This window comes from Homo sapiens, chromosome 8, assembly GCF_000001405.40.
Source record: "Homo sapiens chromosome 8, GRCh38.p14 Primary Assembly".
NCBI lineage: Eukaryota > Metazoa > Chordata > Mammalia > Primates > Hominidae > Homo > Homo sapiens.
The window spans coordinates 13,551,941-13,568,341 of NC_000008.11; the positions used below are offsets into that span (position 1 = coordinate 13,551,941).

Genomic DNA, 16,401 nt, shown 5'->3' on the forward strand with positions numbered 1-16,401 from the left:
ATATGTACCTCTAGACAGGTGTATATGTATATGTGTGTGTGTGTATATATATGTGTGTGTGTGCATATATATGTGTGTGTATATATATATGTGTGTGTGTATATATATATATACACATATATATATATACCTCTTTCTCTCTATATATATGTATGTACCTGTCTAGAGGTGTATATATATATATATATATATATATATATATCTGTCTAGAGGTACATATATATATCTGTCTAGAGGTGTATATATATACCTGTCTAGAGGTGTATATATATACCTGTCTAGACAGATATATATATATATACCCCCATACCTGTCTACATATATACCTATATACAAGGTAGAACTTGGAAGTGAAATAATTCTAAAGGAAGCATATTAGCATGTTTATTGGATCTGACTGATTGGTTAATAATGAAAATTGGATTTGCCAGTAAATTATTTATGGACAAAGTTTTAATAAATTGAATAAGCTAAATTTTCAGATTCAATATTTTGATGAAAATAAATAAAAATATATATACAATAAAAAACTAGAAATTCTATCATTCCCAACTATTTAATCTTATGATAGAAGTATCAGCTGTAACCTTAAAAACATGAGTGAATATATATTTTTCCAAAGTTCTGTTGGGCAGTTATATAAATGACTAATTAAAGACCACTGTTCTATACTATGTACTAGAAATGTGTTCATAGAGTATTAATTTCTGAGAATATTAACAATGGAATAAGAGAAAAGCAACAACAAAATTACTACAGGAAAATGTTTTTTAAAGGGTTTTGTCATATTTTTTAAATGCAAGAAAATGAGACTGAACTTTGTATTTTTTTATTTTTTGAAAAACTCACATGTATTGTCATATTCTCTTATTAAAAGAAAGTACAAAGTCTAAGTGAAAGAAAATGATCACAGAAAACACATAAACTAAATCTTTTCTAGAGAGCATTAATATGTATTTCACAATGAAGCTTCTTATTTGGTACATTAGAAGAAATTATTTAATTTTATGGAAAAGCAGTATGTTTGGAAGAAATTTAGCTTTCATTGGTTAATCACAGAATTAGGAATAGGAATATTATACTAAAAGCTTGTTACTTCAGCTTACAAAATATTAGTTTCATTAATGCAATAGTTATCAACACACAGAGACTGCAAACACACCTAAACCTTGACAGCATTGGTCACTAGTGTGCTATTGATTGCTAATTATCAATAAAGTAACATTTATAAGTCATTATATTGACAAATACCTGCCAGCTGTCATATATATATATATATATATATATGTATATATATATATATATATATATGTATCACCTTTCTTCTTACTGTTTTAGATGAACTTTCTGTGCTCCTATATAAGGCCAATTTCTCCATGCATGTACTATATCCCTTTCTCTCTCATGTGTTGTAGAGTATCACTTCTGTATTTTTCATCCTGTTTCATCTTCATTTCACTGAGTTTCTCATCAGCATACCAGCATAATGTTTTTTTCTTATATTAACACAATCCTCTCTTGATTACACTTGCTTCTCCAGCTATTTTTCCATTTTCTTCCCGGTTTTTAATTTTTAAATTAAAAATAAACTTGTGGAGACAGAGTCTCACTATGTTGCTCAAGCTGGTCTCAAACTCCTGGGCTCTGACAGTCCTCTCACCTTCAGCCTCCCAAAGTGCTTGGATTGCAGGCATGAGCCACTGCTCTCAGCCTCTCCATTTTTCTGTCCCCCTTCATGGCAAAATTTTTAAAAGAGTTCTCTACATTTATTGTCTTCATTTTCTGTCTTCTGATTCTCTTTAGAACAAATGCCCATCAGTCTTTGATCCCTACACCTTCAAAACGATTCTTGTCAAGGTCACCCAAGTCCTCCGCATTAAAAATTCTAATAGTTAATTCTTAGCCCTTATCTTACTCGAGGACATTTGATATATTTGAACACTTCCTTCTCCTCAAAATATTTTTCTTATGTCTCCCTTGCTACTCTTTGTCTGCGCCCTTTGCTTGATCTTTCTAACATCCCTGCCCCCTTGTCATTAGTATTCGGGACTTCTTGTTTTTCTAATAATCTGTAAACACTTCTCTTGTCATTTCCTCCCATGGCTATATGCTCATCACTTTTTGTTTGCTTGTTTTGTTTTTTTGAGACAGAGTCTCACTCTGTGGCCCAGGTTGGAGTGCAATGGCACAATCTCCACTCACTGCAACCTCTGCCTCCTGAGTTCACGCCATTCTCCTGCCTCAGCCTCCCGAGTAGCTGGAATTACAGAGGCCCGCCAACACACCCTGCTAATTTTTGTACTTTTAGTAGAGATGGGGTTTCGCCCTGTTGGCAGGCTGGTCTTGAACTTCTGACCTCAAGTGATCTGGCTGCCTCAGCCTCCCAAAATGCTGGGATTACGCGCGTGAGCCACTGCATCTGGCTATATGCTTATCACTTTCAAACTCCTATAGTGCCTTCTAGGTTCCTCCCCTTGGTGTCAGACTTATGTACTGAAATACCTGTTTTACATCTCCACTTCGGTGTTTAAAAGCCATCTCAGAGGTAAAATTTCCAAAAGCTACACTTCCAGGTTTTCCCTCCAACTGTTTTTCTTGAATTATTTTCTATTTCCACTCATGGTGACTCAATCCTTTCAGTTTCTCATCCTTAACTTTTCTTTTTCTCACACCTCATTCCCAAACCCTCTAAGAAATCTTTCACCCTGAAACTTCAAAATGTCTCTGAAATATGGTCCTTTCTTACCACCTCTACTGCTACCAGTCTGGTTCAAGAACCTGATCTCTTGCTTGGACTTTTGCTTCTGCCTTTATGCTCTGGTTCTCATTCCACCTCCCCACTCACAATCTGAAGTCTATCACAGCAGCCAGAGATATCTGTTAAGATGTCTGCTCAAATATTCTAATAGTTATTGATTTTATTCAAAGAAAACTCCAAAGATCTTACAACTGCCTGCAAGGCCCTACATGATTGGGTTTTCACTCATTCTCTGCTATTAACCTCCACTTCCATTAATCTGCTCCCACCCACAAAGCATCTTTGCTTTTCTTTAAACATGTTAAGCACGTCTCTTTCTGTTCTCTCAGTCTTGTAACACTTGCTCTTCTCATTGGCTGTTCTCTTAGTCTGTAACACTTTTGCTCGATAACCTCATGATTCATTCCTTTACTTCCTTCACTCCTTTGTTTAAATGTAAACTCTTCAGACACACTTTCCTTGACCACTGAATTTAAAATGACAATGCTCCTCAGAACTCCATTGAACTCTCTGCTGCTTATTTTTCTACATATCACATACCATCTTCTAGTGTAAATTATTTACTCACTGTGCTTGTTATCTGCTGACACACCAGATTATAACCTCCATGAGGACAGCCTTTCTTGTATGTTTTTTTTTTAATAAGGTATTTCAAATGGAAGAAAAATGGTGGAAAAGACAAGATAGCCATAGCAACTTCAGGATAATGGACACGTTTGTGGAGGAACAGAGTGAAATTAGACAGAAATGAATAGGTGGCTTTCATTTTATGTTTGTAGCTTTTTAATTTTTTTAAATTTTTTATTTTTTTGAGACGGAGTCTCACTCTGTTGCCCAGGCTGGAGGGCAGTGGTATGATCTCGGCTCACTGCAATCTCCTCCTCCTGGGTACAAGCGATTCTCCTGCCTCTGCCTCCCAAGTAGCTGAGACTACAGGTGCCCGCCACCATGCCTAGCTATTATTTTTTTTTTTTTGTATTTTTATTAGAGACAGGATTTCACCATGTTGGCCAGGCTGGTCTCAAACTCCTGGCCTCAAGTGATCCTCTCCGCTTGGCCTCCCAAAGTGCTAGGATTACAGGCATGAGACACCGGGCCTGGCCTTGTAGCATTTTTTTTTTTAAATAAGAAAGGACTCAATGATAGTAAGTTTATTTTTGTTACATATTAATGGTGCATACATAGGGTTTCATCACATTTTCCCCTGAACTTTCTAAATGTTTAAAGGTTTTGTAATACTAACAGCACTTTACTAAGAAAGAAAGAGGTTGCATTTCAGGTAATTGGAGTTCTAGATGGCTGGTATATAGAGTGAAGAGACAGGTGGAAGAGAGAAGGACAAAAGAGAAAGAAAATGGCCAGGAGTAAGTTAATGGTGTGATACTGCTCTCTGTGCTAGGGCAGTGCTTCTCACACCTCAACATGCACAGCAATCAATGAGGATTGATTATCAGAATGTATAAGGAGCTCAGACAACTCTACACAAGGGATTTGCTTTATGATGCAAATTCTGATTTCATAGATCTGGGACAGAGCTATGATTTTGCCCTCCTAAAACACTCCCAGCAGATGCCAATGTCCCTGGTCCTGGAGCACTAGTCACAAAATCCTAGAGTGTGGCATCTGTAACTTGGCTACATGCTGGAATCACCTGGCAATCCTAGAAAATATTGATGTCTGCGTCTGACTTCCAAAAATTCTGATTTAAAACTTATTGGGATTCATCTGGCCACTGGGGTTTTGACAAGTGATTCTAATGTATAGCAAAATTTGAATACCCGGCAGGGGGTCCAGACAAGGTGCCTTCCTGGTACACTGCCTCTTCTGAAGACTCCTTCATGATGCCTGCTTCCTGTGGTCTCCTTTTCAAGAGATTCTGGGCAGAGGTCATAAGCATGGACCAAATGATGCTGCTTCTCAGGACAGACAATGTACCAAGTAGTAGGGCCTGATACAGACATAGGCTGGGCGCCTGACAGGACTGCTCTTTTCTGAATGAGACCTAGCTGGTCAATTGCTTTAAGGACCTGCATCACAGTGATACACAGTGCGAAAGTGGGAAAAACATATGCTTATTTCTAAAGTGGATGCTGTCAGAGACGCTGCTGAGTAGCCAGATCTATTGCTAGACTATCAAATGCATTATTTAATTCATTTATTATTTTCACAATTTGCTGACAGTCTGATACTTGCAAGACACATAGCTTAGTGGAGAAGACAGACTTTTTCCAGCCCTGGTGGGGCTGAAAGTCTATCAGTTATGACAGACAGTTAGCAATTTATTATACAACTGTGAATTTATTTATAATGTAGTAATTGTCATATGCATATTCAGGGGTCTGAAGGGTGAGAAGTGAGCGAGGATAACTGAGTATGAGACAGGGGAAAGCTGCTGGGGAACTCTGAATGTTATTCTATTTCTAGGGAATTTCAGTGGCTTAATCAATTTCCTTTCACCTTCTTCCTCAAGTGCTTTTACATAAAACCTTTAAACTGTGTTATCCTGAACATTTCACTTTTTTTTTTATTCGTACTCTGAAAAAGCCAACCCACACTAGTTAATTGTTTCTAACAAGACCAAATGGTGAGATGCAGCAACAGACATGGAACACGTGAGGGCCAGTGTCTCAGCTGTGCTTCATTGGGGTTACAGTCTGGGTAATTATTTGGAAAACAGGTTGAGTGGAAGAAAGGAAGTAAAGGATGTGAGAAGAGTCTGGAGGTTGTGAGGTCAGCCCGAAGGCAGGTGATATGGTTTGGCTCTTTGTCCCTACCCAAATCTCATCTTGAATTGTAATCCCCATGTGTCAAGGGAGGTTCCAGGTGGACGTGATTGGATCATGGGGGTGGTTTTCCCCTTGCTGTTCTTATGATAGTGAGTTCTCAGGAGAGCTGATGGTTTTAAAGTGTGGTACTTCCTTGTTCTCGCACTTACTTCCTCCTGTCACCTTGTGAAGAAGGTGCCTGTTACCCCTTCACCTTCTGCCATGATTATAAGTTTCCTGAGGCCTCCCCAGCCAGGTGGAACTGTGAGTCAATTAAACTTCTTTCCTTTAAAATTACCCAGTCTTGGGTATCTCTTTATAGCAGTCTGAAAACAAGCTAAAATAATAGGTGTGTTAGATCCAGGTGTCTAAGTTAAATGCAATCTAGAGACAAATCTCTAAATTTTATTTGGGAAGCAAGAATTGCAACTCGGGGCATACACACAAACCAGATGATCTTTGTCTAAAGAACAAGGAGAAGGTTGGAGGTTTTCTAAAAGGAAAAATGTTACATATTGTTTTTCCAGAAAGTTCATTGGCACTAGTAAAATTCTGGGGAGCTGGCAAGCTCTGATTCATGAGTGACAGTGGTGGTTAAAACTGGCCTTAGACTCATAGCAGGTTGTTTCAGTAGCTATGAGAGAAAAACTGGTTTCATGTTCCAATGGGCAGTTTCAGCAGCTGGGCTTGTGGAAGATTTAATTCTTGGAGCAGGTGCTATATGTCTTGAGTGCTTTCTCCCTGGTTCTTCTATTCTGTTTTACCTGAATATTACAAGAATGACCCAATTTGTAAAATCAGCTTTCACACAGTGAAAAATGGTGGCTACTGATACCAAGGGCTTGGAGAAGGGATTGAAGAGAAGCCGCCAGTTTGGGGATGTGTAGTTATGGTATTTTGTGACTGATGGGATGTGTTCAATGAGGGAGAGGAAGGAACCATGGAGGACTCCCTGAAGGACTTGATACACCTCAAGTTTGAGAATGTGGTTCATAATTTTTTCATTTAAAAATTTATAAGTTTTGAGGAACTTTTAAATATTTGATATTTGCATTTTGGTTAACCGAAGCCTATATTTCATAGATTGTTATGACAATCACTATGTATTGTTCTTTAGGTCACTTTCTGAAAGCATGCAATGAGACACAAAATCTAACCACAGTCCAGGAAAGGAGGCCCTAATTACATAATACCTTATGATAATAATATGTTTAAATATAACAAATGGGTCACATTGAATATTTCTCAGTTACATCGAGGATTACACAGTGTAATTAATTTTGGTCCATCTGATGCCATTCTTTTCATCCTAAATTAAGTTTCTTCTCAATCTCTGTTCTTAGAATGTTAACTGTATCACTATATTTGACATAGATGAGTGAGTTCAGGAGGGCCGATGACTTTTACTTCAAGCCTTTTATCTCTCAATGGCCTCAAAATTACAAATGATTGGCTTTAGGGGATGCTGCATTGAAAAGGCAGACAAAACAAAACAAAACATTCTTGCAAACATAGCAGAAGCTGGTTTTATGACTTAGACCTACACATATTAGTAAAGGGTCTAACAACTTTGGTGCATGAAATTTAGCTACAGAAAGGACAAGCAACTGCCTCTGCTAGCCAGAACAAAAGCTCACATTGTGAGATTTCAGTGGCATAATATACGGGCTTCAAGTAAGAGTTCTGGTCAGTGCGATATAAAGGAAGTGCTTCATTAGCTATCATAGTGCATACCTCTCAGCCTTGTACCACATGGCAGCATGCAGCAAAAGCATGGGCGCAAAGAATGAGCTATTCACTCAGGATTCATAATCTAGCTCTGTTTCAGCCTCCTGGGTTGACAGCTTTCAAGTTAAGCATGGAAGGCTCTAAAGAAACAGTCTTGCATTCTTCAGTGACATAGTTTGTTTTTGGAAAATGCCTATCTAAAATAAGGAGATAAAATGAGTTTAGCCTGTGAGCTCCATTTATGACATTAGCTCTCTTTTCCAGGGCAGGGTGATATTTTTATGCTTACTTTGAACACTTTAATAACATAGTTTTACTGAAAGATTCATCTCAAATAAAATAATTTGCAATTTCCATGTCATTCAACACTATGTAATTATAATAATATTCATTTTATAGTGAAAGCTAACATTGTAAGTAGAAAAATTACAATAAAATGCTTTGCAAAGATGCTGAGTAGTGGAAAAATAATTCTATGTAGTAGTTTTCAGGAAAATCGTTGTGAATTCCAATTCTGTCATCTGTAATCACAGACCCTTCTACCCAAGGAAAACACAAAAGTATGTAACTCAAATTCAAATTAATGGCACATTTCTGTGTTCGTTTTATACATCATCTGTGCTATGAAAGGAAACACATTATATTTAGAATCTCATTTATATTCATTTCCTAGATTCCAAGGTCAGTGTTCAATAGCACTGCCCAAAGGCTGATGGACTTAACTTTATAAAATTGCATAAAGATGCCCAGAACCATTCTGAAATTGAACTACAATAAAACAAATGTAAATAAGGCAGCTATCTATTGGACTAGCGTCAGAAAACCTAGATATTATGTTATCATACAATTTCCAAGACAAAGTAGCAAAAGAGATGGTACAATTCAAATTCATATTTAACATTATTTGTTGTGAAGTTGCTTTGCTACTCTTAAATATACTGGGCATATTCATTTTGAATATAGCTGAGTAATATAGAACCTACATTTGTTTTGAGTTTTACCGGATACTCAGATCGAATAGTAGGAAATCATTGCCTAATGCTTAAAAACATTAAAAAATCCTGAAATATACCAATCTGAAAAGAACTAAAAAAAAACTTTCACTTATTTTCAAATAAAACTAATACTTTCTTAAAATAATTTCTTACTTAAGTATGAGATGTGAGCAGTCACTCTACAGGCTGGCCAGACAGGTTTGTGATAGGGTCAGAGAATATAACGTGTACTCACAAGGCCCCCACAGATGTTCACCTAAAATAAAGATACTTCTTAATGAACAGGTAGGTTCCTCTATTTAACGATTTTATTTTTCTCACTTAGAAAATCACCAGCAGTTTTCATACTAAAAGTCGACCCCAAAAGCAGATTGTGTAATTAGCCTTTAATCTGGTTTTCATACAAACTACACTTCATGGGTTAAATTGTACTCCTCCTCCCCCACCATTCTTAAGTTGAAGTCCTAACCTCCAGTATCTGAGAATGTGGCCTTATTTGGAGATGGAGTCTTTAAAGAGAAAATCAGGTTGAAATGAAGCCATTTGAATAGGTGTTAATCTAATATGGCTAGTGTCCCTGTGGGGGGGGAGGGAAAAAGGAAATTTGGGCACAGAGACAGGCATGGAGGGAGAACATCATGAGAACGTGAAGACAGCCATCTACCAGTCAAGGAGAGAGGCCTGGAACAGATCCTCCCCTCACAACCCTCAGAAGGAACCAACCCTACTGATGCCTTGATTTCAGTGATAATATCCTTTACAAAAAGGTCACTGAGATTATATATATATTTTTTAATTAAAAAAATTGTTGGTTAAAATGGGGACATTTGGAATGTCTAGGCTCAAACTTTGTGTGCTAGTTCGTATTTCAACAGCTACACGAAAGTCAATTTGTCTAACATTTAGATAAATATTGTATATTTAAAGTGTTTTTCCTTTTTTTTTTTTTGAGACAGAAATATTGCTCTGTCTGTCAACCAGGCTGGAGTGCACTGGTGCAATCATAGCTCACTGCAGCCTCGTACTTCTGACCAGCAATCCTCCTGCCTCAGCCTCCTCAGTAGCTAGGACTAGAGGTGCACACCTGGCTAAGCAACTACAGCCATGCAACTACAGCCACACCTGGTGCAACTGCAGCCACACCTAGCTAAGTTTTTCATTTTGTAGAAACAAGTTTGGGAAGGGGTCTCGCTGTGTTGCCCAGGCTGGTCTTGAACTCCTATTCTTAAAGATCCTCCTGCTTCATCCTCCTAAAGCAGAAATTATTTAAAAATGAAAAGCCACTACACGTGCAGGATTTAATTTTGCTTAAACTTATTTTTTTAATGCAAAACTGGGTAAAGTGAATAATATTCTGGCAATATTGAAGGAACATAGATGGCAAATTTATTTAAAATCTTTAATTGGAAAGTTTGTTCTTTATTAATTTATTTATTTCTTCATCTGTCTATTCATTTACCTGCTTATCTACCTACCAGAGCTTTGCAATAATAGCAGTTTACAGGGAAATTTTATATCATGTAGGTAATTCTGACTGCTTGAATTTTTAAATTCAAAACATTACAGAACTATGATAAATTTTATATATGTTTCATAAATCCAAGACAAAGATAAATATCCAATTTTAAAAATGGGTAAGGTTATTAACTCTACTACTAGTTCAAAATGTGTTGGAGGTATTAGTCAAAGAAATTAGATATCAAAGACAAAGCAATTACTGACATAAAAATTAGAAAGCAAGAGGCTATCTTAACTTATAGATAATATGATTATATATTTGGAAAACACAGGAAAAAAATCAATGGAAAAAGTACTAAAGACAGGAGTTACGGGTAGGTTGAAGGTATGCCAAAAAAGGAGATAGAACAGGGGATTCTGCACCTTGATTTTGGTGGTGGTTACAGAACCCATATATGTGTTAAAATTCACAGAGCTGTACACTAAAAGAAGTAATCGGGTCAATTTAAATAAAAAATAACTAACAAAATAAAATAAAAACTAGTGTAAACAATCCAAGGGCAAGTAGGAAAAAGATTGATACATTTGATATATGAGAGAAAAATCAAACTTTTACATGGCAAAACACAGCATAGACAAATAGACAAACTGAGAAGAGCTATTTGGAACCAAGTCACAGACAAATAAATAATATTTCCAACATATGAAGTGACTCTTGAGAATTGAAAAGAAAAAAACAAAATTTATATAAAAATAGGTAAAAGAATATATGGTACACATAAAAAGAAAAAGAAATGTAAGTGGCCTTTATGCACATGAAATGGTGTTCATTCTTACTGCTAATAAGAAGAATTCAATTTAAAATTACGCTGAGATATCATTTCTTATCCTTTAGATTGGCAAGAATCCATACATTTGAGAACATACCCTGCTGGCCAGGCTTTTGGGAACAGATGCTCCCATACATTGCTGGCAGAAATGTCATATGTGTACTGCCTGTGGAGGGGGATTTGGAAGTAAGTAGAAAACTACATATGTCTTCATCTTTGATATAGTAATCTCATTCCTAAAATTCATCTTGAAAATATATCTCCACAGATACAAAGCAAATTTTGATTTCTTATAATAGCAAAATGCCCGTCAAAATGTGTGAATAAAATACATTACATTTCTACAATGAAATACTATGCAATCTTAGAAATAAATGAGAATGATGTCTATATGCTGTTGTAAAGTGGTATCTAGAATATATTTTTAAGAAAAAAACAAAAAAAAAACGCCATAAAGCAATGTGTAGAGTATGTCAATGTGTTTTTATAACAAGAGAGGAACACATGTATGAGAGACGTATTTATATTTTCAAAACATTTTTGAAAGATAATCGAAAACTCTAAAATTATGATTATCTATAGGGAACGTAATGGCAAGAACAGAGAAGAAAACTAAACTTCTCTTCCTGCTCCTTTTTACTTTTTCATTTATAAAAATTATTTGTACTTCGGAAGTGTTAGGAAGTAAAACCTTTGAGGACTACGTTAGCCAAATGCAGTCAGTGGACCTTGTTTGGATCCTGATTCTAACACTTCAACTTGCAAAAAGGCATTCTTGAGGCAGTCAGATAAATTTGAACACAGAATAATTATTAGATGATATTAAGGATTTATCGTCACTTGCTAGATGTGGTCACAATGTGGCTGTTTTTAAAAAGGCCTAACTTGTAAGAGATATAAAACAAAGTATTTATGGACAAAAGAACATTATATCCTAGAAAAAATGATGTACAGAAACTATAAATTAAAATAATTTTTAAAAAATCATGAGTGATGTAAGATTCTTTCCTCCAGAAAGAATCAGCTCCTCACAGCGAGATTCCTGGCATCTTTAACTTAGTCTCTTAGGAGAAGAGACTTGCTTGATTCACAGAACCTTGCACAGTGACACTTGCAGAATTGGTGTAAAGGGTAGAATATTTTTGAAGGATCTGTCAATTTAATCTATAGAGGAGAAACAGATCTCAAAAGCATTAAAAATGTGCATACATTTTGACCCACGAATTATGATTTCTGGAATTTATCCTAAACATATAGCTAGAAATGTATGTAAAGATTTAGCTAAAGGAATAATTTTTCATAGCAAAAAAACTAGAAATACCTTGCATCTGAATGTATTTGTTAAACGAATCAAATAATGCAAAACCACCTTTAAAATTATGTTGAAAATAATTTTTACAATGAATGGAAAGGTTCATTTTATTACTAACTGGAAAAAATTGTTCATAAAACCAAAATTCAGTATAATCTAGATTTTAATTAAGAAATTCAAGAAAAATATTACAACACTTTATCAATGTTTATAGTAATTATCTTTGGGAAGTCAGAATATAGGTAGCTTTTGCTTAAAATCAGTATTTGTGGCTTATCATTTTCTTTTTTAAAAATCTGCAGTAAACCTATATTATTACTTTTGCAAAAAAATAGCTATTAAAGTAGAAGGCAGCTATTCACAAGGCAATTAATCAATTTCAGAAAAAAGATAATAACACCAAAGATGCAGAAAACAGAATAGAAAGATGGAGATAATTGTGAGGTAAAAACATTTTACAGATAAAGAACAAGTACTGAACCACAAAAAAATTGAACAACTATAAATAAAATCATTTTTCATCTTGAGTGATATACGATTCTTTCCTTCACAAAAATGGCCATTACAGTGAGATTCTTGTCACATTCAACTTAGCCCCCTAGGAGAACAGCTAAACATTTCATCTTGCTGCATCTACAGAACCAAGCACAGCGTTACTTGAGAAGTTGATGTAAAGGGTAGAATATTTTTGAAGGCTCTGTCATCGTAGTCTCTCTTATACTTAAACTAGACTCCCACTTTGTACACTGCACACCACCAGGAAGAGGTACCTGCCAAATGCCAACTCATCATGGAAACGTTTATGATATCTGGGGGGAGAATTGCTTGCCAGAGTGACAGATGCTGAAAGTTTGCTTTTCTCCCTCCATAGGAAAGGAAAGCAAGAGAGAAGGGGAATCATGAATTTGTTTTGACTTCCTCTTTCTGGGGTTGGCCTTATAGCTGCAAAGCATTCTTGATCATTAAGGAAAAAGCTGGGAGAAGACCCTTGGCCCTGCTCTCTGATAGGAACTAGGAAGAAGAGAAAGTAGCTGCAGAACAGTAACAGGAGGGGCATAGCAAGGTTAGGCCAAGAGAGCCTGACTGGACTCTCTTTTCTATTCTTCATATCTCCCAATCCCCACCACAAGCAGCCTTCAGCCACAGCTTGGTCCACAAAGCATTTTGACATTCCCAACAGCCCCTGAGAGATGGCAAGAAGATTGAGATTTCCAAAGGAAAACTATTACTCTTCATATTTGTTTAAAATCAAACTTTGACCTGTGTTTTCATGAATCTTATTTGATAAATATAGTACTGTTGAGAAATTTTCTTCCTTAGATAACACACTTACTAGAATGTAAAACTGTCCACTGGGTCACGCTGAATATTACAAGGAAATTAATTATAGAATTTCCCACCCACATATATCTCCTTCTAGGATAAAGTTATTTTTAAAAATCAAGAGAAATTTAAGACACGATTATAAAAAAGACAGATTACCCCAGACATTTGGCATGTTAGAAGACACAGATAGATTTTATTTTAAGTATAGCTCCCTTGTTCAATGTTATGGATAAGATATAGCTAAAACATGAATAGTGTGTAAATATGAATGTGTAAATATTCAGAGAATGAGGCAGAGATTTGAAATAATAAATAAGGAAAATATTGAGCCCTATTGGAAATTACTTGGAGTTACTCACAAATTACATGCCACCTCTTTTTTAAAGACTACCATTATATGATAAAATAAAATTTGGGTTGAATAAATGAAGTTGGAGTCTCCTTATCTTCAACAGGAAGCTGGCTCATATACTTGAGAGATGCTTTTTGAATATTTGACTTTCACTTTTTGCCAGAATGAACATTTGGGGAATATATCTGGCTAGACCTGAATAATACCCCCCAATCCCCAAGAAACACAGGAAGAAAGAGAGAGAGAGACAAAACTGAGAAAGAAGGGTGTCTAGGCTCTTAAAATTATCCTAGACATTGACTAAGTCCTAGACTCAAGAACTATTATAACCTAGGAAAAGTCCATCTCTAGAGTTAACATTTTATAATTTCTCACGATAATTAATAAAACTCTACTGTGTTTTTTAAATGAATCCATTAATAAAAAATATATCCTGTGTAATAGCCTAAGTTTGGGGATTCAGTTAGAAAAAAGGTTAGAGTTCCCTGAACTTATAGTACTTATTTCTCCAAATCCTCTGGACGTGTGTAAGGTAAGATTTATTTGTTCCATAGCCATTCACTCAACAGAGATTTCTTGAACACCTGCTATGTGTCTGCTGATTGCTGGGCTCATACTAGTCGGCAACACCGACATGATTTCTGCCTTCAGCCTTCATAATCAGATACTCATACAATCACATAGTTGGACACTATTTAAAAAAAAATGCTGGAAAGAGTTTAAGGCAGGGGTGGGTATTAAGCCCTTCCTGAGGAAATGGGACTCGGAGGAGGAGGATAAATTAACGATATTAAGAGTGAGGACGGGCGTGGATATGCTAGCCAGAGGGGACCTGTATGGACAAAAGGCCAGAGAAACTGATTTGGAAAATTAAGGTCCTCCCCCGCCCCTGCTCCCCACCCCCGACCCCGCCCAAACTTCGAGGTCCTCAGAATGCTGGAGCACAGAACACTACTTCTTACAGAATGGTTTCTGTATTTTGACTTTTCCCCAAAGACATGCTCTACAAGGAGGTGTCTCTTGGCTATAAACACTGCAGACAAGTTTTTGCTTGTGCATCTTGTCCAGCGCGTTTTGCTTGATTTTTAAATCTAGATGCATTTAGGCGGGCGTACACGTTCGGATTTGTCACAGGCCACCTAACTCTATTGGTCTCACACACGTGTGCCACCTGTCTGACCCCTGGGAAACAGAGTTTGCAAGGTTTTCCCGTTGACTACTCGACTTTAGCACCAAAGAGAAGCAGGAGTGCAGAAGACAGGGCAAAATCGCCAACCCGGCGCAAGCAGCGCAAGCGCAGTGGGCGCTGGGGAGCGCGGAGGAAAAGGCGGGACGCCGCATGGTGGCCAGTCACTGCGCATGAGCGGCCCGCGTTGCCAAGACAGCTGGGAAGGCGTCTCCCGGAAGACGACCTCCGCAGAGCTGATGGCATTGAGATCCATTCCCGGAGGGGTCAGCTCCTGACGGGTTCCTGAGCCAGTCTTAACCTGGGCAAAGGAGATGAGGAGCCGAGCCTGATGCATTGTGATGGCCATCTGCCCAGAATTGGCCCAAACGGACAAAAGTGCTCTTGCAAACCTTTCTGATGAGACTGAGACTTTGAAGAACTCTACTGATGAGGTACAGACTTCCAGCTCATTCAGCTCCTCTGGAGGACGGCAGTCCTCGCCCCTGACCTCTGGGAGCAAACTGGAGAGGGAAAAGCAGACTCCAAGCTTGGAACAAGGAGACACACAATCTGAGCTTTTGGACTATAAAAATTATGAAAAGAAGTTGAGTAAAAAATGGATCAACTACCTCAAGCTCAAAGACTCTAACTTTGAACGGCACCAACCAGACACCAAACTTCCAACAGAAATCACTCGGGTATCAGATGAAGAATTGAATGCCCTGCAGTCTTATTGCACCATGAAGATAAATTTGATTCATCGTAGAGGGGATTCTAAGAAGAAGACGAGCAGCAGACATAAAAAGCTGCATCTTGGATTGGATGTAGAGGCTTCAGAGAGAGATGCCTTTAGTTGTACTGTACCCGATGAACTTTTGAACAGAATCTACTTTAAAAACATGAGGACAACGCCAAAACAGGAGGCAGCAGCTAAGCAACACATATCTTATCAGTGTCCCTATTGTAACAGGAAAAGAGCGGAGCTGGCCCTGTCTGCCTTTCTGAAACAAAAGAAGACTTTACTGGAGTCATTTCTACTCCAAGAGAGAATAGATGAACATCTTCATACCAAAGACTTTCTCACCCGTATTGGAGAAGCACATCAAGACTTTCCCAGGCTTTCAGATGACCCCAGAATAATCTGGAAAAGACTGACTGAGAAAAGTCATATCAGATACTCTGGTTTTGAAAGATCAGAGACAGAGCAGAAGTTGCAGCGAGATGGAAATAGTGCTTGTCATTTACCATTTTCTCTGCCATTTCTCAAGCGACTTACTCTAATCAAACCAGAGCTGGTGATTGTTAATGATAATGTGTAATGTGGATAGATGTCTTTGTTGTGTATTTGAGTAATTACCATAATTTCTACAGGCACTTGGGAAACTAACTTAAGACTTTACTATGCTTCCTTCACAGATTTGAGGACTAAGAACTTTCACTTTTTTTTTCCTATTATAGAAGGCACTGTTGTAGTTGGAATAGTTATAAAAACTTTTACAAAATTCCAAGAGAACTATGTTGGTAGTTTGGGCCAGGATGTTGATGGTACAGAAGCAAAGTAGTATGGGGATGTAAGAGAAACTTAAAAAGTAATAACTGTCTTTGGCGATCAAATGGCTATGGGGAATTAATAAATAGTAGATGTTTGAAATGTTATTAAGGCTCTGACTTGTGCGCCCGGATGAATGATCATTAATTTCATTAAGACA

At 37.1% G+C, this 16,401-nt stretch overlaps 2 protein-coding genes across 3 annotated transcripts in view, besides 2 other annotated features; one reads left to right on the top strand and one right to left on the bottom strand.

The window, feature by feature from the left end:
* The window catches only part of DLC1 (DLC1 Rho GTPase activating protein), a 521,260-nt gene that overhangs the window by 468,580 nt on the left and 36,279 nt on the right, over window positions 1-16,401 (bottom strand). The gene's annotated exons all lie outside the window — the stretch shown is intronic.
* Window positions 6,730-6,899: an enhancer, noted in NCBI's record as "experimental_101206 CRE fragment used in MPRA reporter constructs". NCBI's record gives its function as "activates a minimal promoter by MPRAs in K562 erythroleukemia cells, with activity observed for the non-introgressed 8:13416264 or rs62492131 variant allele {active_cell/tissue: K562}" and the evidence as "EXISTENCE:reporter gene assay evidence [ECO:0000049][PMID:34662402]".
* Window position 6,815: a transcriptional cis regulatory region, noted in NCBI's record as "Neanderthal adaptively introgressed variant 8:13416264 (GRCh37/hg19 assembly coordinates) or rs62492131 in the experimental_101206 CRE". NCBI's record gives its function as "modulates activity of the experimental_101206 enhancer by MPRAs in K562 erythroleukemia cells {active_cell/tissue: K562}" and the evidence as "EXISTENCE:reporter gene assay evidence [ECO:0000049][PMID:34662402]".
* Window positions 14,929-16,348, top strand: C8orf48 (chromosome 8 open reading frame 48). The gene has a single exon (NM_001007090.3). It carries the CDS (start codon window positions 15,052-15,054, stop codon window positions 16,009-16,011), a length of 960 nt encoding a protein of 319 aa, NP_001007091.2. The 5' UTR covers window positions 14,929-15,051; the 3' UTR covers window positions 16,012-16,348.